Source organism: Homo sapiens, chromosome 18 (assembly GCF_000001405.40).
Source record: "Homo sapiens chromosome 18, GRCh38.p14 Primary Assembly".
Lineage (NCBI taxonomy): Eukaryota > Metazoa > Chordata > Mammalia > Primates > Hominidae > Homo > Homo sapiens.
The window spans coordinates 69,644,356-69,666,727 of record NC_000018.10 but is presented as its reverse complement, the minus strand read 5'-3'; the positions used below and the strand labels follow the sequence as shown (position 1 = coordinate 69,666,727).

Sequence of the window (22,372 nt, the reverse complement as noted above, 5' to 3'; positions counted from 1 at the left end):
ATCTGTCATCTAACTCATTCCATTCCTTCATCTCACATCATCCATTCCATTCAATGAACATGTTTTTGAGTCCCACTATGTGGAAAACACCATAAATAGGCCAATATAATAGCAAATGGCAACATGGTGCCTGCATCAGTCTGAATATGTGATGTCGATGATTAACAGAGCCATTCTGCAGACTCACTGTGTAATTGAGAAAAAAAAAATTGGTTGGGTTAAGACACTGAAATTTTGGGATTGTTTGTTACAGGTGCGTGCCTAACATTTCCTGTCTAATTTAAAAAAAAATAAAAGAAATAAAGAATAGAAGTCAGCTGAGAAGGGTGATGCTATGTGTCACTGTCTTGGTGCTCAGTCAGCAAGGGAAAGGAAATGAACTGGGCGTTGGATAGAGGCTGATCCATGTTATGCAGCAGGGAAATATTTGGTTAAAACGTCACCTGTAGTAACTTGGTGAATGGATTAGAAAATATCCACCCTAGGAAAAGGAGTTGGAAGATAGAATATTAACAAACTTATCAGCATATGTTAGTTGCCATAGGCTGTATTTGGCAGGGTATTAAGAAAAAGAATTGCTCAGTTTGCACACAGGATCAAAAGGAGATAGAGTGTATTTAAAACTTGGAGCTTTTCGAGGTTGAAAAAGGCAACTGCTTCGCAACTCCAAGTCAATACCAATAAAATAAAAATGATAAGCCTTTGAGCTACATGCCCTTTCTTAAAGCCTGTGAATGGTTGAAAGCATCTCAGAGTCAAGGTCTGCTCAAAGGTGAAGCCCAATATGCTTGCTTAATAGAGAAATGGTTCAGGGAAAAGAGAGCAAAGGGGTGGTTCTCCCACCAAAACCTGAGGGCATAAGGTCTGAGAGAGAAACAGCAGGAGGCTTAGGATTGAAGAGAAGTACTTCTAGAAAAAAAAAAAATCAAAACTGTGGGTGTAACTACTGGCCCATGGAACCAAGTAAAATCAAATAGATCACAAAACTGCAAAGTTTTAAAGAGTTAAACTGCCAAAGAAATCCAAAACTTCTCTAAAAAAGTCAATCGCTTTTGGAGCTTATAAATCATCCTTGAGCTTCTAGGGCAGAAAGCATCTGAAGAAGTTTCTTAGCTCCTAAAGAAAGTGTATGCTCCCATGCTCGCTTCAGAGGTCGAGTTAAGGCAGACGATAGAAAATTGGAAAACTCCCAGAAAATGACATCACTTCAGATAACAATGGACTGGTGGCCCCCTCCCAGAGTGCAAAATTACTACCTAATCAAATAATTAGGTGCCTATAATTAGGTACAAATAATTAGGTACCTATAATTAGGTACAAATAATCAAATACCTCATTCCACATAGCAAGGAGGCTCTGAAACTGTCTATCCCATCTCATTTCACAAGTGTGCATTGGGTCATAGGTTTCTAGCTCATAAAGAGTCACATCTGGACTGGCTGTAGGGACAACCTTGCATTGCCCAGAATCCTGGAGTCATGACTGGATGAGACATTGAGTTAGTGTCTTTTGGGGAGGAGTTAATGCATTTTTTTTTTCTTTTTTTTGAGACGGAGTCTTGCTCTGTCACCCAGGCTGGAGTACAGTGGCACAATCTCGGCTCACTGCAACCTCCATCTCCCGTGTTCAAGCGATTCTTCTGTCTCAGCCTCTGGAGTAGCTGGGACTACAGGCATGTGCCACCATGCCTGGCTAATTTTTTTTGTATTTATAGTAGAGACGGAGGTTTCACCATATTGACCAGGCTGGTCTCAAACTCCTGACCTCGTGACCCACCCACCTTGGCCCCCCAAAGTGCTGGGATTACAGGCGTGAGCCATCGCACCTGGCCACATTTTGCTTTTAGGAAGAAAATGATGTTCAGTGAGCAGAAGCATGCTTGGTGGGATCCTTTGCACAGTTTCTTGTTCAGCTGGATTTAGAGCTGCTGCTTTTGGGCACATGGCAAGATGGCATTTTCTCCTCTTTGGATGCAGGTGCCTGGCACATTGTGGGTAGTCAGAGAGTGAATGAAAAGTAAGCGAAATATTTTCCATATGTTTCCCTTTAAATGCACACAGTCTGAGAAGCCCTGAGTGCCTACAGGGTGATATTGCTTGCAGTTAGTACGTGGGAGGAATGTGATGAGTATCTTTGTTTATTTCCAAGAAGAGGGCCGCTAGTGGTTTTGACCATTACACCACTAGGAATTATTTTTTTCCTTCTAGTCTTACCTCCATAAAAGAAGAAAGCACAAGGACCACTGATGTTGAAATACAAATAATTATTGAGGAGCATAAAAAGTATAATTATTCTGATAATTTGCATAAAGATGATCATTAAGATTTACATGTTCCATTTATATGAAGTATTGTACAGCTCATAAAGATGGCTTTTTAAAAGCCAGTATCAAATGAGAACCTATAATAAATATTCAGATTAATTTTCCATTCATTGGAAAGAAAGATCATATATATTTGCAGAAAAGCACTAACAGGTCTGAAAAATGATTTCTGAGTAATGATGAAATTCGTATGAAAACAACATACAGAAGTATGAAAATAAACCAGCTGGTTACTTTTTAAAACTACAAGAATTTCAAATATTCGATTCTGAAATTAATTAACACAAACATTTAATGCATTAGTACATTTAAAATTTCAACCTTTGTTTTCTATTAGCTTTGTACCCCAATCCAAACATCACACAGCATTTTATTTTAAAATGTATTTGTTGCCTAGTCACCCTTTAAAAAAAATTAACGGCTTATGAAATGAGATAAATTAGGAGTGTATTTTTATTATAAATCAGAAATTTTATTAAAGTAAACTTTATAATATTGTTGAATGGGATTTGTCCTCTTGTGTTTGGAGCCCTCTAAAGCTACCACTTGAGAACAATAGGCACTAAATAGCCGCACATTCCACAAACATTCTAAAGACAGCCACCAGAGTCACACAGTATCTAAAATTAGAGATTTGAGGATAGGCTTGTTGCCTTCACTGGTTGCCTTCAGTTGGTTCCAAAATATTGTTCAATTTTATTAAAAGCTCCACTGTAGTTAATGCCAAACACAATACTGTGCCTAGGGTGTGGGGAAAGGATAACAAAATTCCCCGATTCTTCTCAGAACCATGCATCTCCACAATTTCTTAGTTAACATTTTCCCAATTAACAGTGTTCTCCAATGTGTTTATTATCATAATCAACCATGGACCATTTAATTATTATCTGTCATTGGGGCCCATTTTCATATTCCAGGTGGAGTTTAGGCTGAAGGGATTTTCTGTGGTCAACTGACTTGTGATTTCTTTTTTTTTTTTCTACTTTTATTTGAAGTTCATGGGTACATGTGCAGGTTTATTACACAGGTGTCATGGGGGTTTGTCGTACAGATTATTTCACCATCCAGCTATTAAGCCTAGTATTCTCTCCGTCCTCCCACCCTTCATCCTCTGATTTCTAATCCCTTTTTAGAAGATCTTAAAATAAACCTTAGAAGTCAGGACCCTGAAGCAATGCAGAACTTGCAAAGAGGGGTGCCTGGAAAATTGCTTCAAAGTACAGTGTGGTTTAGGAATTTCTGTGAGACCAAAGGGACTGGCCAGATCCATTCCAGTTTTTAACTATATCCCTAAGGTTGACACATTGTTCAGCAGATTCTGCAGGCAGACTGCCTTTTAACTCCTTGACTTTGTTAATAACTGCAGTATGTTTTAAGGGACTTGAGATTCAAAACATTTTCCATGAGATAAAACAAATAATTTTGGAATGGCTTAGGATAGTTCAAAAAAAGGATCCTTTGGTTTACTTAATTGGCTTTGGAGCTAAGGTGAATACATGTCACCTTGAAGGCTGGATCCATCCTATTGCTTAAAGTCATTTGTCCCTATAACTATTTCTATGAAGGAAACAAGTTTAACTTGGCTTGAAGATCAGTTTCACAGGAGGAAGTTCAGTAAAGCTAAACATCATTGTGGAGTTGGCAATGGGACAGTGTTTCATTGGCATGGCACAAGAAATTAATCTTCAAAAGTGCAGATTTTAAAACTGACTTTAAAAGTCTCATTGGAAATCTATTACTGCACACTCATGCAAAACTTGCTTTGGTTCATTAAAATAGATCAATGTAAAACTGTGTTCAAATATTTTTATTTGTTCAAAGGCAATATTCATCTACTAACAGAGGTCTTTAGACAAAAGTCCAAAGTGAACAAAAGGGAAACAACCCAGATTTGGAGCAAGTAGTAATAAACTCCTGAGAATATAGTTAGAGTAAAAGAAAAACATTTTCAAAGTGCTTTCTTTATTAAAAATCGAGGTAAAGAGAGTAATAAATTACATCAGCAGCAATCCTTCCAAAAGTAGCTGTGATAAGTACACATCCTGAGTAAAGTGTGAAAGCCTCAAAACAGAACCACAGGAGAAACAAGACAGAAGAGAGAAGACTATAAAGAGTAGCTCCTGGAGGCGGGGTGTGGTGGCTCATGCCTGTAATCCCAGCACTGCGGGAGACCAGGGCAGGTGGATCAGCTGAGATTAGGAGTTTGAGACCAGCCTGGCTAACATGGCGAAACCCCATCTCTACTAAAAATACAAAAATTATCTGGGCATGGTGGCAGGCACCTGTAATCCCAGCTACTCAGGAGGCTAAGGCGGGAGAATCACTTGAACCTGGCAGGGGGAGGTTGCAGTGAGCCGAGATCTGCATCAATATATTGATGGTGAGATTAAATTCTGAGTTTATTCAGAAGAACCAAGGTGAGAAATAGGTTAGTAACCCCTTCTGATTACTGTTTGTTTCTGTGCTAGCCCAGAAGTACAGCTTTTCAGAGTGGACACACCTGGGTACAGTTCAGGGCTCCAACTCAGACAAGTAAGAAAACATCTGTAGCATGTATTTACAGTTAGGGGTGATTGGTGACAGTCCACATTACATATATTATGTAAGCTTTCTACTTTTCCTTCACATTGCAACTGTGTTTATATTCAGCTTAAAGAATTAATTCAGTAAATTAAAACTATATTTTAATGAAGAATTATTTTAGGTGGAAAGAACAAAATTGACCAGATTGAATCATGTTGCATTTTTATATTATCTGGTAAGAATGATCTAACATTTAGAGCTGCTATCCCGACAATTACACATACAGGAACCTTAAATTGTTCCTACAGAGTATAATAGGAAGGAGGCTCCACCATTTCTCACACCTGACTGAGTTACTTATGCTTTCTGAATTTCAATTTCCTATCTAGGAGATGCCCATAGTCTCTTCTTTTTGCTCTTTAGTTGCTTATGCATATGCTATAAACTGAATGTTTGTGTCCTCCTACAATTCATATGTGGAAACCTAACTCCCAAGGTGATGCTATTAAGATGTGAGGCCGTTGTTGATGTCATTAGGTCATGAGGGCTCTGCCAGCAGGAATGGAATTTAGCGTCCTTATAAAAGACCCAGAGAGATCCCTTGCCCTTTGCAGCATGTGAGGACACAGAGAAAAGAGAGACACCTATGAAACAAGAAGTAGTAGGTTGTCAACAGATGCTGCATGTGCTGGTGACTTGATCTTGGACATCCTAGCTTCGGGGACTGGGAGACATACATTTCTGTTGTTTATAAGCATCCAGGGTATGGTATTTTTGTTATAGCAGCCTGAATGAACAAAAACAGGATATAATTTGCTGAGTTTTGACATGTCCCTTCTACTTCTTCAGACTTTCAGCATCTGCTGTCTCCTCAGTTGAATTTGTAATCAAAGCATAAGAAATATCAGGTATAGGCCAGGTGTGGTGGCTCACGCCTGTAATCCCAGCACTTTGGGAGGCCGAGGCAGGTGGATCACGAGGTAAGGAATTCAAGACCAACCTGGTCAACATAGTGAAACCCCGTCTCTACTAAAAATACAAAAATTAGCCAGGAGTGGTGGTGGGTGCCTGTAGTCCCAGCCACTTGGGAGGCTGAGGCAGGAGAATTGCTTGAACCTGGGAGGCGGAGGTTGCAGTGAGTTGAGATTGAGCCACTGTACTCCAGCCTGGTGACAGAGCGAGACTCCATCTCAAAAAAAAAAAAAAAAAAATCAGATATAGATGTCTCATGTCTTCAAAAGTAATAGCAAAAGGAATGCATTGCTCCTTGAGGTCAGTGTGAAAACTCCAAAATCTATCCAGTTTTGGTTATGGAGGTATCCCTTATGAGATGTTAATCCTGCTAAATCTGTCATTTCAAGTAGAAAAATGAAATTATTTTAGTAATTGTGCTAAGACCAATCTGAAAAAAAAGTCAGTATCCTGCACTAGCGCATACCACGATAAAAGAAACAATGAGAGAAAGTGGTTAGCCTCATTGAGACTTGTATTGTGGAGTTGAAATTTATGTTATTGGAAATTTTTCATTCATTAGCTTTTATTTGAATATACAAAGACACTTGCATCCTATTTTTCTTCAAACAAAAGGTAACACATTTAGCAATTGATTAAAGTCAACGTTCTGAGTTATGAACAATCTATGCACATTGCAGGCCTCCATGCAGAGGGTTTGTTTCAGACGTACAGAAACTAGTTTGAAAAGCGTGAAAAGTGGCCTTCAGGAAGAAAGTCGGGGCCCTGTTTGCTTATGTCATGCATGGAAGCTGCTTCCAAAGAGACCAGATGTTGCCCTGAAACTGAGACAGAGGGTGCAGCAGAGGTCCCTCCTCTTATTGTAAAGCTAGGAAGACACCCCCAAATCATTTGCATCAGTAGAGTGACTAGGTTTGTGATTTTCTTTATATACATATATATATATAAAACATACATATATGTTATATATATAAAACATACATATATGTTATATATATAAAACATACATATATGTTATATATATAAAACATACATATATGTTTTATATATATATATATAACATACATATATGTTATATATATATATAACAAAAAAAAAGCAGAAAAAAAAACCACCAGGATTTCAGATGGCCATCTAATAATATTTAAAATCTGGCATTTATTCAATGTTCAGAGTGACACTGTCCCAGCAAATAATTACAGGCACAGTCAGATTAACGTCCTTTTTAGCCCCTTTCCAAGACATTCCAAAACAAATTAGGGCTGTAAAACACTGTGTGTCTTCTCTCCATCCTGATCCTCCACTCCAGTTACTGCATTTAACGACCTGTTTGCTCATGTCCCGAGTGCCCTTGACTTTATCTCAGCCTGTGTAATTAACCGGATTCAGCTGGCAAACGTGAGCAATGTTCAGTTTCTCAGGGGATTAATTCCTAAATACAAACAGAATGAAATACATTGTGCAGAAACACATAACCTATCATATTTGGATATCTTCTTAGTTTTGCAAAACCACAGCATGTAGCCTTCTTGTTGCTGCTTTGTCACTTTATCTTTTTCTAATGGACACCATTGTGTCAATACTTTGAACCATTTGGAGGCACACGTAGACGTGCACAGCAGTGACTTTTGAAATCATTTTATGTAATATGAAAGGCCAGAATGCTGCTTGTTTCTTCTGAACAGGCCAGAGAGCTAGGACAGCATCCTTTGACCATGAAGGTTAAATGCTGGAGCAGCAGAGAACATGCAGAGCTCAGGGTGCCAGAAGCCACTGTCACCTGAAAGATTCAGTGGCAGCAAAGTCAGATGTAATGATTAAATGTTTATATTGTTCTACTATTTGATTTCAGGGTGTTAAGGAAATTTTCAATTTGCCTGCATTTGATTTTAATGTGTTTTCAAATATTCGAAGTAGAAAAAATAGCCTTCTTAAGGGAACTAGACCAAAAATATTGTGTTGTAATTCTTAAGAGCTAGTCTTTACCATCTACAGGCTGAGAAGGGATTGTGTTTAATTATTATGTGCAGGCTTACTTTTATAGCTGTGCTAAGCTGCAGCCAGGAATATTGAGAGGAATGAATTATTGGAAAACCAGTTACCAATTAATCTTTTTCCTTGTTGAAAAAAGAGAGTTATATATGCAAAAATAAAGCATTTTGAGCTCTCTATATTAGCTTATACTGAGAAAAAGACAGCAGAAAAAGACTCATTTCCGTTTATGAAATAAATAGAGAAATACAGCGAACTGCTACTGGCAGATATAAGTAGCAGAACTAAGGAAGCAGAGAGACCCCTTATTTTTGATCATGAAAATGAGTGAATAAAAGCCTGTTCTTGGCTTTCATGTCTTTCCCATGCTGCTTTCAAATGGAATAAGCTTGTATAATAATAATAGCAATAGTAATAGTAGTAGTAATTATTGTCAACATACTAAATATTACAACAATACTTATTTTAAAAATATTTACTGTGTGCCAGGTACTAGTCTAAGAAATTTACATTACATATATTAACTCATGTGTGACTCCCAACAAGAAATAGACACTATTTCACAATTTTGCAGATGATGTCACCAAGACCAAAGAATTTAAAGTGCATGTGAAGATTCAGGAGTCAAACCCAGCAATCCAGCCCCAGTCTATGCTCTTAACCCAGGCTGGGCGTGGTGGCTTAACGCTTGTATTCCCAGCTCTCTGAGAGTCAGGGGTGGGAGGATCTCTTGAGGCCAGGAGTGTAAAACCAGCCTGGTCAATATAGCAAAACCCCATCTCAACAAATGACGAATTAAAAAATCAGCTGGGCGTGGTGGTGCCTCTAGTCCCAGCTCCTCAGTAGGCTGGGGTGGGAGGATCGCTTGAGCCCAGAAGATGGAGGCTACAGTGAGCCATGATCATGCCACTGCATTCCAGCCTGGGCAATAGAGGGAGACCCCTCTCAAAAGCAAACAAACAAACAAACAAAAACAACAACAGCAACAACAACAAAAACCCACCCAAAACCAAACAACCACCCAAACAAACAAAAAACCCACCCACTCACCTACACACCAACCAACCAACAGAAAGGTTCCAGTTAATTTGTGTCTTAGGTCTGGTAGAACGCAGACCTAATTCCAGAATTTATGAAACAGGTGAAAATCTCCTATCAAGTTCACGAATTTACTATTTCCTTCTTGTGTTGGGCCAGTTTTCCCCTTGTAAAAGTTATCAGCACTTAATTTTTATTTTGAGACTATTTTGTTAGGTGTATAAGGGTGAAGAATTATTAGCCTCTGTTTCTAATACATGATTTAACATCAAAAATCTCATTACATCAACTTTCTTTGGTAGCTTTCGCCTGTTATATTTTTCTGTATCAATCAACTTTTACTTAGATTATGCTGTAGTAAGAAATAGCCCTGCAATCTCAGAGGATTCCTATAACAAAATGCTTATTTCCTACTCCTGACCTTGTGGTCAGCTTCAACTCTGCTCAGCTTCTCTCATTCTGGGACCAGGCTGAAGGGGTAGCTTCCATCCCAGTCTCAGGGCAAAGGGGATAAAAGCTAAGGCAGAGCCATGTCATGCAGTTAAAATTCATATGTGGCACGTGTCACTGTTGCAGGTTCCACTGACAGACGCAAGTTAATGGAAAGGGAGGTTTAATATTCTAACAGAGAAAGGCAGGCAGGCATGAGGAACAATAATCCAACCCAACACATCGCAGTCATCCTTCCCATCCTTTCACTTTCTATCACTGTGGATCCTGTCTTTTATGTGCATTTATCTTGTAAAAAGTATATAACTAGGTTTTCAATTCAATTGGAGATATCTTAGAAAAACCTACGTATTTGCATTTACTTGGATTATTATCGATCATTTCAGTTTGTGTTTTCCACTTGTCATGAATTTTCTTTTTTTCTGTCCTCCTTTCCTATCTTCTCTAACAGAGCACCTCAGACTTTATTATGCATTAGAAATACCTGGAGGGTTGTTAGAGTGGATTCTTGGACTCCAACCCTGGAATTTCTGATTCAGAAGATCTGGAGTGCAACCTGAGAAGTTGCATTCTAACAAGCTCCCAGGTATATTGATGCTGGTGGTCTGGAGCCCACACTCACTCTTCTGCAGTTATCAATTGCATTGTCTTTATTTTCTCCCTTTTTCATGTATAAGAAAAAAATACAATGATCTTAGAATACTTTAATCAAATTTCCTCTTTTTTACCATATCAGTGTCCAACATTACACTTATATTTTGTTTTAAGTCTGTTGTTTTTAAATTCTTAAAATAGTTATCTTAGCATTTTACATCAATATTACTTTAAATTTAGCAACTTTTTGACTTATTTTTAATCAACATTTATTGAACTTATACTATGTGCCGGTGACAAACCTATGATATAAGTGCTACTATTATTTATATTTCCACTGAACATATGTGGAAATGGAGGCACAGAGAGGTGGAGTAATTTACTCTTTGTCACACAGCACGCTGACTAGAACATCTATACTCTAAACCACTTTGTGATATCGTCTCATCATTGTGATTTGCATCTTCCTCCTTTCTGTTTTTACTTTCCTCTTCCTAAAGAATATGTTTTTGGTACTCCTTTCTGTAAAGATCTAGGTTAATCAATTTCCTTTGCTTTTATGTTTCTGAAAATATCTTTCTTGCTACCCTTACTATTCAGTGTTAATTTATCTTGACTGTTGCTTTTCTCCAGCATTACAAAATTTTTTAGAGTATTTTGTCTTATTGTTGCTAACATTGAGTCATCTATTCATTCTGTCATTCCATTCTAACAGCAGTCTGATTTTTCTCTGGGGTTGCTTTTAAGACTTTTTGTTTTATATTTAATTTTACATATAAACCATTATGTGTCTACTTGTTGACTTGATGTAACTCTCAACAATACAAGTCTTTCTTCAATTCTGGAATTTTTTTTCAGCAATTACCATTTTGACTTCTGCCTCTTTCCTATTCACCATTGTTTCTTTCATTGCAAATCCTGTCAGACATATGTTGGATGTATGGTGGACATTCTTACTCTTTCATATCTTATTTTTATCATATGTCATATTTTATTTTTCATATTTTAGATTAAGGTTTTTATATCTTCATATTTTATGCTTTGTTCTTTTGTTTTTTTTTTTTTTTTTTTTTTGAGGGGTGGGGGAAGGAGTCTCGCTCTGTCACCCAGGCTGGAGTGCAGTGGTGTGATCTTTGCTCACTGCCACCTCCACCTCCCGGGTTCAAGCAATTCTCCTGCCTCAGTCTCCTGAGTAGCTGGAATTACAGGCACCTGCCTCCACACCTGGCTAATTTTTGTATTTTTAGTAGAGACAGGGTTTCACCATGTTGCCCAGGGTGGTCTCAAACTCCTGAGCTCAGGCAATCCACCCACCTCGACCTCCCAACATGCTGGGATTACAGGCGTGAGCCACCGCGCCCAACCTTTGTGCTGCATTCTTGATGATTTCTCCAGATTCATCTTCTAAGCACTGAGAATCCTCTCAGATAGACTAATTTTATTTAATCCTTTCCATTTCAATGGCATTTTAAAATATCTTAAAGTTCTATTTGTTTCTTTTACATATATTCTGTCTTTTATATTATGCCCTTCCAATATAATGTCTATTTTTTCTTATATTTATTTTAAATAAAATTATTTTCTATTCTTGTAAAACTTTTCCCATTACTTGCAGTTCTTAAGATGCTAATTCGCTTTTTTGTCTTGTACCTGGTGAATTTCCCTCTTTGTGATTTATTTATGTGGTTGGTGCTATTTTATTAAAGTAAGCTCATCTTCAGAAGGTTTTTCTCTTCTGTAGAAAACTCATACACCTAGAATTCTTTTTGTCTTGTTTTGAGACAGAGTCTCACTCTGTTGTCCAGGCTGGGGTGCAGTGGTGCAGTCATGGCTCACTGTAGCCTCAACCTCCCAGACTTGGGTTATCCTCCTGCCTCAGCCTCCAGAGTAGCTGAGACTACAGGTGCACACCACCATACCCAGCTAATTTTCTGTATCTTTTGTAGAGATGGGGCTTTGCCATGTTGCTCAGACTGTTCTTGAACTCCTGGACTCAAGTGATCCACCATCTCCACCTCCCAAAGTACTGGGATTACAGGCGTGCACCACTGTGTCCAATGAGCCTAGAATTCTTTAAAGGGCCTCAACAAAACGGTTTAATCTTTTCCTCTGTCAAAGCCCTACAGCAGTCAGCAATTCTAAACAACTTTGAGTTTAATATTAGCTTGGAATTCTTTTATTATGCAAGTAGTTTATATTGGGATATGATATTCATAAGAGGGGCAAGCCTTCATTTGGATGACAATTCACCATTTTAATTGTGAGAGAGATGTGTCAGCCTTTCTCATTACTTTCTGAGGGTGAGTGAAATTTTGCTATTTCTTTTATAAAGAAGGGAAGAGCCAGATTTTATGCAAAAAATTCAAGTCCAGAGCCCTAACTTCATGCCGACTCAATGTCAATGTCAAATTTCCTGCCCCAGAGAAGTTTACAATTGTGTGTGTGTGTCTGTGTCTGCATGTGTGTGTCCCTGTTCAAGTACACAGCAACCCGGATTTGTTTCTTGATGTCTTTTGTCATATTGGAAAAATTCTCTGCCAATTTCCATTCAAATATTTCCTTGACACAATCTCTTTTTCTCTTAAACTTCTGCAACTCCAATTACAAGTATGTTAGACTTTTCCACTGCATCTTATCCATCATTTATATATTTTTTTGCTCTTTTCTTCTGTGTTTAGTCTGTATATTTCTAGTGACCCATTTCTGTTTACTAACACCCTCCTCAACTGTTTTTAATCAATATCAAATCTTCATTACATTTTACTTTCATTTGTAGGATTTCAGAATTTTTGTTTGATTCATTTTTTAGACGTCTCAATTCTCTGAAGTTTTCCATCTTGTCATTCATATTTTGAGCATGTTAATCACAGCTATTTTGACTCTCATATTGGATAATCTGTGGCCCCATTTCTATTAACCATTTTTTTTCTCCTGGAATGATTGGTGGTATTTAATTGAATGCTTGTTTGAAACATTATGTTTGAAACATTATAGGGATAATTTGTATGTTTGAAACATTATAGCGATAATTTGAGGATCTCAATGATGTTTATCTCTGCCCAGATGACAAAGGTCTGAATGATGTTATCTTTATCAGTTCACTTCACTGCATGTGGTTAGAGATATATCAATTTTATGCAGTCTGGGACTCAGCTCATTCAAATCTAAGTTTCAGTTTTTGTAAGGACTAGTTTTTGTTCAGTTTGTCTTCATTTCTGGGGTATAGCCCTTCAGAATCCCACTAGAAATGTGGGATATTTACAGAAGTCCCTCTTCCTTGGTGGATCCTGAAATCTGAATTTGACTCCCAATATCATGAGTCTATTGGAAGTTCTCTTAGCCACCACCTTCAGCTTGGCTTCTTCAGCCCCTTAGTGATTACCTACCAGACGGCAAGTACCTCGGGAAGCAACACAGAGTCAAATATCAGGCTCAGTTCTCTGTGTTTCCTTTTCTCCGGGACCTCAGCTCCCCAAGTCCTGGCTGCCTCGGAAGTTAGCCAAAATCTTCTTCTTTTTTTTTTTTTGTCCCAGTCTCAGTCTCATAAGACTGCCTAAAATTCTTCTCAGCTATCTGCCATAGCCTCTTCTTTCTGGGTGGGCTTGCAGCCTGTGTTACTTACGAATTGGCAAACGCTTCAAGGTATAGATGGTCTTAAAGGCTAGACTCACCCAAACATGGTGGCTTTCTATCTTGAATCTTGGCTTCTCTAAATCCAGTTGCTTTGATGTTTCTTAGATACTTTCAAATAGATGATTTTGAAAAATATCCACTATTTACCCATGTTTTTAACGAGAGTGTTGGTGTGATAAAAGTAAGTCCCCCATAGCCAGAAGTAGAATTCCATCGTGAATCTTTCAAACTACAGACATCATCCCCTCAGGGAATATACATGGGTCTGAAAATAACATAGACTGTCAGATAATCGTTTGTCCTTACTATTCGAAACTGATTTTCAATTTCTTGCAGCTAGAATCATCTCTATGCTTTTTTCAAGCTTGCCTATGTAGTAAAAATAATATGTTCCTTTGTAGGGTGATGTTTCTCCTACCAGTTTACTTAAGGCTGTATGTACGCTGCTTGAACCCTAAAAGCTGGGAAATGAGCCAAGGCCACGGTGCTCAGCTGAGGAGCAGGTGTCCCTGAGAACCCAAACATCCTAGAGTGTATCTGGGAACATACCAAGGAAAAGAGTCTCATCACATGCGGCAGCCAAAGAGCCACAAAATCAGCTTAAAAGCAGCTTAGAGGCGTGTGGTGGGTGGATCTCTAGAGTTCTCCTGATGCTGCCCGAAAATGTCCTGTTTGTGAATCCTAATAAACTCATCTACTCCTCAAGCTGGAATTGCCCAAGTCATTCTTTGGTCTCTCAGCTCCTTCCCAGTTTTTGAGGGATGTTCTCCTGTACAGTCCTGGGATTTTCCCATCACACTCTTTGTAAAAGGAAGGGAGCCTGTGTGAGTCAACATCTCGTATTTATGTGGAATATTCGTCTTTTAAAACCAGGAGTTAAAACAAGTGTGAACAAAATTAAAAATAGTTGATTCTAGATTTCAATAAATAGGTACTTTTTATATTATTTTTAGTGTATTGTATAAAAAACAACTTCTCTGAAAGTTATTTAATAATTCACTTGTCATCCTAATCCTCTCTGTTTCATGGATTGGCTTGAAAGCAAAATTACTCACACAATTGCTCCTTGGTAATGAAAGAAGGACACCCTTATTTTTCCACAAGCTGTGTGTAAATGCCTATGGGAGCCATTGCTGTCATAAGAGAAGCCAGCACACAGCAAGGTTAAAGCAGAGAGAAGCACAAGGACACTAGCTGACCAAAGGCCATTCTCCCATTGCTCTTTTGGTTATCAAATCAATTCACTTTTAAGGCTAACTTAAATTAGTTTCCTTTTTAAATTTTGTATCGAAAGGATTCTGAATAATCAAATGACTTAAAATATTAGTATTATTTAACCAATGGAGGTCAGAGAGATGTTTAACAGCCTGCTTTGCAAGGAGATAGTGCAGAAAAGAGATTAAAGGGGGCTGATGGGGCTGGGCGCGGTAGCTGACACCTGTAATCTCAACACTTTGGAGGCTGAGGAGGCAGATCACTTGAGGTCAGGAGTTTGAAATCAGCTTGGCCAACATGGTGAAACCCCGTCTTTACTCAAAATACAAAAATTAGCTGGGTGTGGTGGCACATGTCTGTAATCCTAGCTATTCCAGAGGCTAAGGCAGGAGATTCGCTTGAACCCGGGAGGCAGAGGTTGCAGCAAGCCAAGATCGCGCTGCTGCACTCCAGCCTGGGTGACAAGGCAAGACTCTGTCTTAAAAAAAAAAAAAAAAAAAAAAAAGGAGCGGGGGGCTGATGATGCAATGCAGGGCAAGGATTGGATTCCCTAAGGAGGAACCAAAAAGTCCAGCTGTGAAGGTGAGAAGGTAAAATATCTTAAGGGAAAGCAGGGACAAGTTTTGGAAAAAAGTGCATAAATTGGACTATATCTAAAATATCATGGGAAGGATCTAGTCTTGAGGGAGCCATTGGATTATGCATGGGATAAAAGGCAGAGAAGATTATTTGTGCTTCAAGGAGGTGGTAATGATCAAAACTATAGGTGGAGGTATTGACATTATTATGGTTCCCCTGTTATTACAGGAGGCTCAAGTGGGGAGGACGGGCACAGATGTCTGTATGCTTCGTACTGGGAAGCATGCTATGATGATGACTTCTATTTCCTCTGGGAAGTGGGAGAGAGAGTCCTTTTGCTTACCAACAATATGCCTTCTACATCTCTCCACATACAGTCTAAGACTGCTTTTTAAAATGTTTATGTATGAATGTATGGCTGCAGCATATTCCATATCAAGATTGTTCTTAAATTTTAACCACCGCCTTGATGAAGGGCATTTAGATGCTGCAATGAATAAAATATGGACAGGCTATTATACCAAAGAAAACAGTCAAAGGAAAAGTATGGGTATTTGGAAATTAGAAGCAGTAATAGCAGCATGAAAAAAATGATGGAGTTGGAAGACAAATTTTTTCTTGTCTTGGTTATATATTTTTAATGGTGGTAAGAACACTGAACATGAGATCACAGAGTTTGAGTGTATGACGCAGTACTGTTCAAGGTAAGCACAATATTGTGCAGAAGATCTCTAGAATTTATTCTTCTGGCATAACTGAAGCTTTACACCCGTTGAACAGCAAGGGTCACCTCCCTTCATTGGATATGATAGTTTTTAATCCATGTTAACCAAAATAGCTCCGAAAAGTTGGAAAATTAACATAATTAAACTTGAGGAAAAAGTTTCAGTTTTATTTCTTATGAAAGTATGCCAAGCAATATCTAGGCATTTCCTGCATATTCCTTCCTTTTTAGGACCCCGGGTCTGACATGGCTCATATGTGATAGGGAAGATGTCTAGGGCTTTGCTCACTCTTGGTAGCAGATCCTCTAGAACAGAACCTTATGCCCGACTCAAAGCAGGAGGCATCTAGAACCTTTGGATGACTTCCAGCTCAGAGACTGAAACTCCCACTTAAGATTACTTTATAAAGTCTTCAACCCACAGAGCAGTAGTATTCCCTGCATCCTCTTCACAAATACATAAAATCAACCAACCACGTTTTTTTTTAAAGATGATAATTTCATAGAAAATCCTAAAATTTTCACAAATTCTTGTTAGACATGCCACCTATCATACTGGCCTAAGAACAATAGACAGTAGGCACAAAGTGTTAATCTCACTGGGTGACAAGGCAAGAAAAGTCTTGCCTTGTCCTTTCCTTGGAAAGGAAAGTCGCTCTGTGGTGATTTTTGGCTGTCTAAGCCTTATGTAGAGGACTCTAGGAAGGGAGGGGATCCCATAAGAGATGTATTTTAGGATCAGTGGGTCAAGTTTTACTTTTTAAAAAATCATGATTATTGCAATTGCATAAGATTATTGCATAAGAGACATCATATCTTACCATCTCAATAATTATGCAATCTTATATTTCATAAAGATTTATATACTTGTTTTTATTTAGGTCTTGCACATTTCTCAAATATTTTACTATTAAAATCTTAGAATTTTGTCATTAAAAATAACGTTTCTATTGCCTTTTCTAAATATGCAATGTTTCTTTGTCCTTGATTTCCATGCATTGACCTTATATCAGGCCCTTTACTAATCTCATTAATTCAAATCCATTTTTAGTTGATTTTGTTTTGCATTTTCCAATTATAAAGTCTGTTAAGACTCCACTATCTTTAAGAAGGGGGATGCAGAAAAAGTTCTTCATAGTAATATGAATTCTAGGAACATCTATTGAGGCTGATAAATTACGTTCATTTATCCTAAAAGAAGCCGCAAATCCCTGGCAGTGAGTGGGAGGCAACCCTAGGATCCATCCCAAACTAAAATACCCCTATTTTCATCATTAGCATGGATTTGTGGAAGTCTAGTCCATGCAATGAAGGGTGTCATTTTTTAGATCTCTGACAAGGAGATTTCGTTTACATGGACATAAATTATTTCTTTGAGAAAGGAAGCTTTCATTGTAGAATAAATGACTTTGAGAAAAGCTTTATTGTAACCATTTTAAAAAATGAATAGAATATAGCCTTCCTCTTTTTCTGTAACTAGATGAGCCTTTTAAATTGGATTAGTGATAGGTATTGGAAAAAATACTAGTGTCCCTTTCCTGCCTCAGGTTTGCGTGTGTTCTTGGGAATGGACATATCCACAGACTTCTCCAGTGGGAAGCTGTGTGGATGGTAAGAGAAGTCAAGAACACTTCTTTGCTACAAAATGATCAGGATGCAAGAATATGCCATATGGATGCTATGCTCTAATAATATCGTATCTAGTGGGATTAAGTGCTTTGTAGTAGAAAACATGTCTCTCTTTTAGTGTAAGATTCAGCTCATGTTCTTGCTCTTAATTTATAGATGTTTAACATAATGTACATCTGAAAATGGCCAGGGATTTGACCTTCTGCATAGGAACTAGGAAATAAAAAAGAATTTACTACTGTTCCCAGTTGCATGAACAGCTATTTTATTGCTGATGGGAACAGGGGGCTGTTCTGATTATTTTCTACAAATTCCACCTAGGCATAACCAGAGCATGCATTGGCACGTAGCCAAAGCAAACTGGAGTGCTCAGAACTGCTGAGTCCAGGGCAATGATGTTCTACCTATCAATTAACAGACGATATTTAGTACACTTAGTTTCACATCGCCATGTCCTCTATTTCCTAGTCCTTATGCTAGAGATACTAATAAGCCATTTTATTATGATTTTAAAATTCTCAGTAAAGGTCATTTACATAAACTCTCATTAATAGGATGGTGAATACATCCTTTTCAATGGAAAAGAGAAAGAAAATGGGCTTTGAAAAATATTTTAGGTTCAGAGGTACCTAAAGCTAAAATACAATGTGCACATTTGTTATACAGGTAAATTCGTGACTCAGGGGTTTGGTGTACAGGTTAGAAAATGGGCTTTGGTTTTGTTTTGCTTTTGTTCAGACACAAATACACTGTAACCTTGGTTTGTACCCAACTTACCAATAATATTCTGAAATTCAGCACAATAACATTTTGAATTGATTTCTTTTTAATATTTTCTTCAACAATTATAGTAAATAACTATAGGGAGCTAAAATATTAATGAAGACCTGAATGTGGCCGTAGTTTCATTTTCTGGATGTGTAACGTAAAAAACAAAAAGTAAAATTTGAAAGTATTTTTCAGCGAGAAAAGGAGAAACAAGGATGTGCCAGGCTTCATGATGATTATATGATAGCTAAACAAGTATTTGATAGGCTTCTAGTCACTGTAATCCTGTCCTAAAATAAAGCAGTATGTAAACAAATGAATAAAGATAAATTCATTCTGGCTCTCCCTGGGCAGCTAAAACTGCAGCCTTCACTAGCAGGGTCCTGTTTAACATATCCCTGCCGGCGGGCAGAGAAAGGCATTTCTCTGCTTCTCATCCAATTTGCTACATCACCACTTCTTCTGTCCTCTGCCCCATCCTGATGACATGGAGTTGCTCTATGGGATTTCATTTTCAGAAAAGACTTTAAGTAGGAGACATAAGTTTCCAGATCACCAGCAGATTCTCTAGTGCCTTTCATTTCTCCTACTCCCACATTCTGCTCTAAAGTTTATGGGGAGTCCAGGGAGTGGGGAGTGCTTGGGCAGAGTGGGGAGTAGAGTGTTCAAGAAACAAGGGCACAGTACATCACACACGCTTACAACCCAAGGCCTGATCCCTCTTTAAGGACTGAGTACCTTGTTTAGCCTGATGAAATCCATTTACTTTCAGATCTCTTGGCTGTTTGTTTGCATCTTCATGGACTTAAGGGGTCACCTACTGGAAGTGACGTGCTTTCAACTAGCAGTTTAGAATTTGCAAGCTGTGGGACTTCCAGGGTCCTGTAGGATAATGATGACTGCCTTATTTCTCTACATACCCTCCAACATCATACCCTTCAACCAAGAGAGCCAGTGAAACCACCATAACCTGTACTTCTAGCATAACCAAGAAATAACAAACATATAAACTTCACTTTACAAGTACATAAGAAAAAAAAATGAAACTAGAAGACCAGCTTTGGAGTACATAATGAAGACAGGAGATAGATAGGTAGATGGATGGATAGATGGATAGGATAGATGGATAGGATAGATGGATAGGGTAGATAGATAGACAGGATAGACAGATAGGATAGATAGACAGATAGGATAGACAGATAGGATAGACAGATGGGATAGACAGATAGGATAGACAGATAGACAGGATAGACAGATGGATAGATGAGATAGAGTAGATAGATTAGATAGATAGATTAGATAGCTAGATAGATTATATAGCTAGATAGATAAATAGATAGACTATATGAAGAAAGGAGAGAGTGGAGGAGCATGCTTAGCAATGTGGGACAATTAATCAAGATATTGACCAGACACAAGGGGCCCCACCCTGATGGAGAAATAGAGGTAATACTGTTGAGACTTGATGGACAGATCCTCCTTGACTGGGGAATCAAAAGGAAGAGTCTTGGAAGTGCATAGACCAGGAGGGGCCTGGTCGTGAACACCCTGTCTCTAGAGCAGAGGGATGCATCCTTTAGACGTTTGGTGGTAAAGGAAAAGGAAGCAAGTGGTGAAAAGTAATGCTCCTAAACAAGTAAACAGAATTAAAATTAGCAGAAGTTTAGCTACCAGCCCTTCTCCACCAAATGGGCACCATGGAAGAAATCCTCAAGGATTAAACCCAGCGAGCCCCTCAAACTCTATATCCCTGAATTTACCTTTAAGATTTTGAAAAACACAGTATTTAAAAATGAATAAAAATCAATGTACTAACAAGAAATTTTAAAAAGAGAATACATAATAACTGGTAATTTTTTTCCCTAAAATAACCAGAAATCAGAGGCAAACTGTAACATCATACTCATGTCTGCATTAAATACTCTCAAACAAGCAACTGCAGACATAATGAAAGCAAACACCTTCTGTCAGAATGTCAAAAACTTAGAAAAGATATGGAAAAAATATACAGATATCCAAATAGGAAAAGTAACTAAAATATGCATAATTGGAATCCCTGAAGAAGAAAAAACAAAACTGTAAAACAAGACTAATATTTAAAACAATAACCCAAGAAAACTTGCTCAAAATCAAGGAACTCAAATCTACATTTTGAAGGGGTCTATTACATGCTGGGGAAATTTAAAAGAATCATTGATTCCTAGATATACTCTAGTAAAACTGCAGAGAATAAATACATATAATAAATACTAGAACAAATACATATTCCTTTTAGATCCCAGGTAAAAAGACTAAGTCACTTATAATGGAAGAAAAGGTTGAAATCAGACTCCTCGATCACAAAATACAAAATAAGACAGTAGTGGAACATTCCAGAAGAATCGACAAAAGAATTATTAAGGGTCTTTAAACTCTAAACATCATAGAAACACATTTAAAAAAGAAAAACTCAGGAAATGCTGTCTTTGTTTATCTCCTTGAGAAGTTTACGCACCTTCTGAGGAACAACTTGATTGTTTCAGTTTTAGGATATTACAAGTAAAGCTGCTATGAATAATTATGTACAAGGTTTTTTTTGTAGACCTAAGTATTCATTTTTTTTTCCTGGGATAAAGGCTCAGGCATGTCATTTTTGGGTTATATAGTAAGAATGCATTTTTTTAATATGAAGAAACTGCCAAGCTGTTTTTCACACTATGTCTACAATTTTACATTCCTACTAGCATGTATTTTGCCCAGTAAGCCAATGTGAAAATCTTTTTCTTTTAATAGATGAGCTTACTCCCTTAAAATCATGGCTATATCTGATACAATTGGTCCCAACTTTGTCATCTTATTTATGTTTTATTCACTGTGTGTATTATATTGAACATAGATGAATATTCAGAAGATTATGCTGAGTGAAAAACCTACTCTAAAAAGGACACATGATTCTATTTATATAATATTCCTAATAATGAAATTAGAGAGATGGAAAACAGGTTCGTGGTTGTCAGCAGTTGGGAAGATTGGAGGAGTGTGGTGCATGCACCTCTCACAGGGTAGCATAAGCCCATCTCTGTGGGGATGGGGCAGTTCTGTATCTAGACTGCAGCAGTGGTTGCACAGATCCACACACGTGATAAATGGCATGGAATTATACACACACATTGTATCATATTAAATTCCTGGTTTTAGCGGTGTTCTACACTTATGTAAGAGGCAACCACTGGGGGTTGATATACAACACAAAGATTGCGTATCTTTGAGAATCAAAGGTATGCAAGAGCTCTCTCTACCATGTTTGAAATTTCCCTATGAATCTGTAATTATTTCTAAATAAAAAGTTAAAACATCTATTTTAATATTGGTCCTTCCAAAGCATTCATTTAATATTTTCTAAGAAAAGGAAATATGCAGCAAGAATTGGGAAGGATCTGAGATTTGCTTTACTTAGAAGATAACAAGTCCACCTGTTACTCTTTCATAAATCCTGGCAGCTGACAAGACTCCTGGATCAGAGAAAAACTTTATTACTCAAGACACAGCAATTAGCATCAGTATCAGCAGGTCTTGAATAGCTAAAACACTCTTGACAAAGAGTAATAAAGTGGGAGGAATCACTCTACCTTATAAAAAGACTCACAATTTAGCTGCAGTAATCAAAATGGTGTGGTCTCGGCAGGGCACAGATACATAGATTAATGATTAGAATAGAGAACCCAGAATAGACCCACACAATTACGTCCTAATGATTTTTGACAAATGTGTCACAGCAGTTCAATGGAGGAATGGTAACCTTTTCATTAAATGGCACTGGTGCAATTGGACATCCATAGGCAGGATAATCTTGACTTAAACCTCACAACTTCTACAGTAACAAACTCAAAATGGATCATAAACTTAAGAGCAAAATGAAAAACTGTAAAATGTATTTAAAAGTGGAAGAAAAA

The 22,372-nt window shown here is 37.8% G+C and overlaps 1 protein-coding gene across 3 annotated transcripts in view; it reads right to left on the bottom strand.

Moving 5' to 3' along the window:
* Nucleotides 1-22,372, bottom strand: part of DOK6 (docking protein 6) — a 448,200-nt gene that overhangs the window by 182,360 nt on the left and 243,468 nt on the right. Inside the window, exon 1 of one of the 3 annotated variants that reach the window (XM_017025611.2) lies at nucleotides 9,783-22,366. The exons of the other annotated variants lie outside the window; for them this stretch is intronic. The gene's annotated coding sequence lies outside the window, so the exon portion shown is untranslated. Of the gene's footprint in view, nucleotides 1-9,782; nucleotides 22,367-22,372 lie in introns of those variants that run through there. 3 annotated transcript variants of the gene reach the window in all.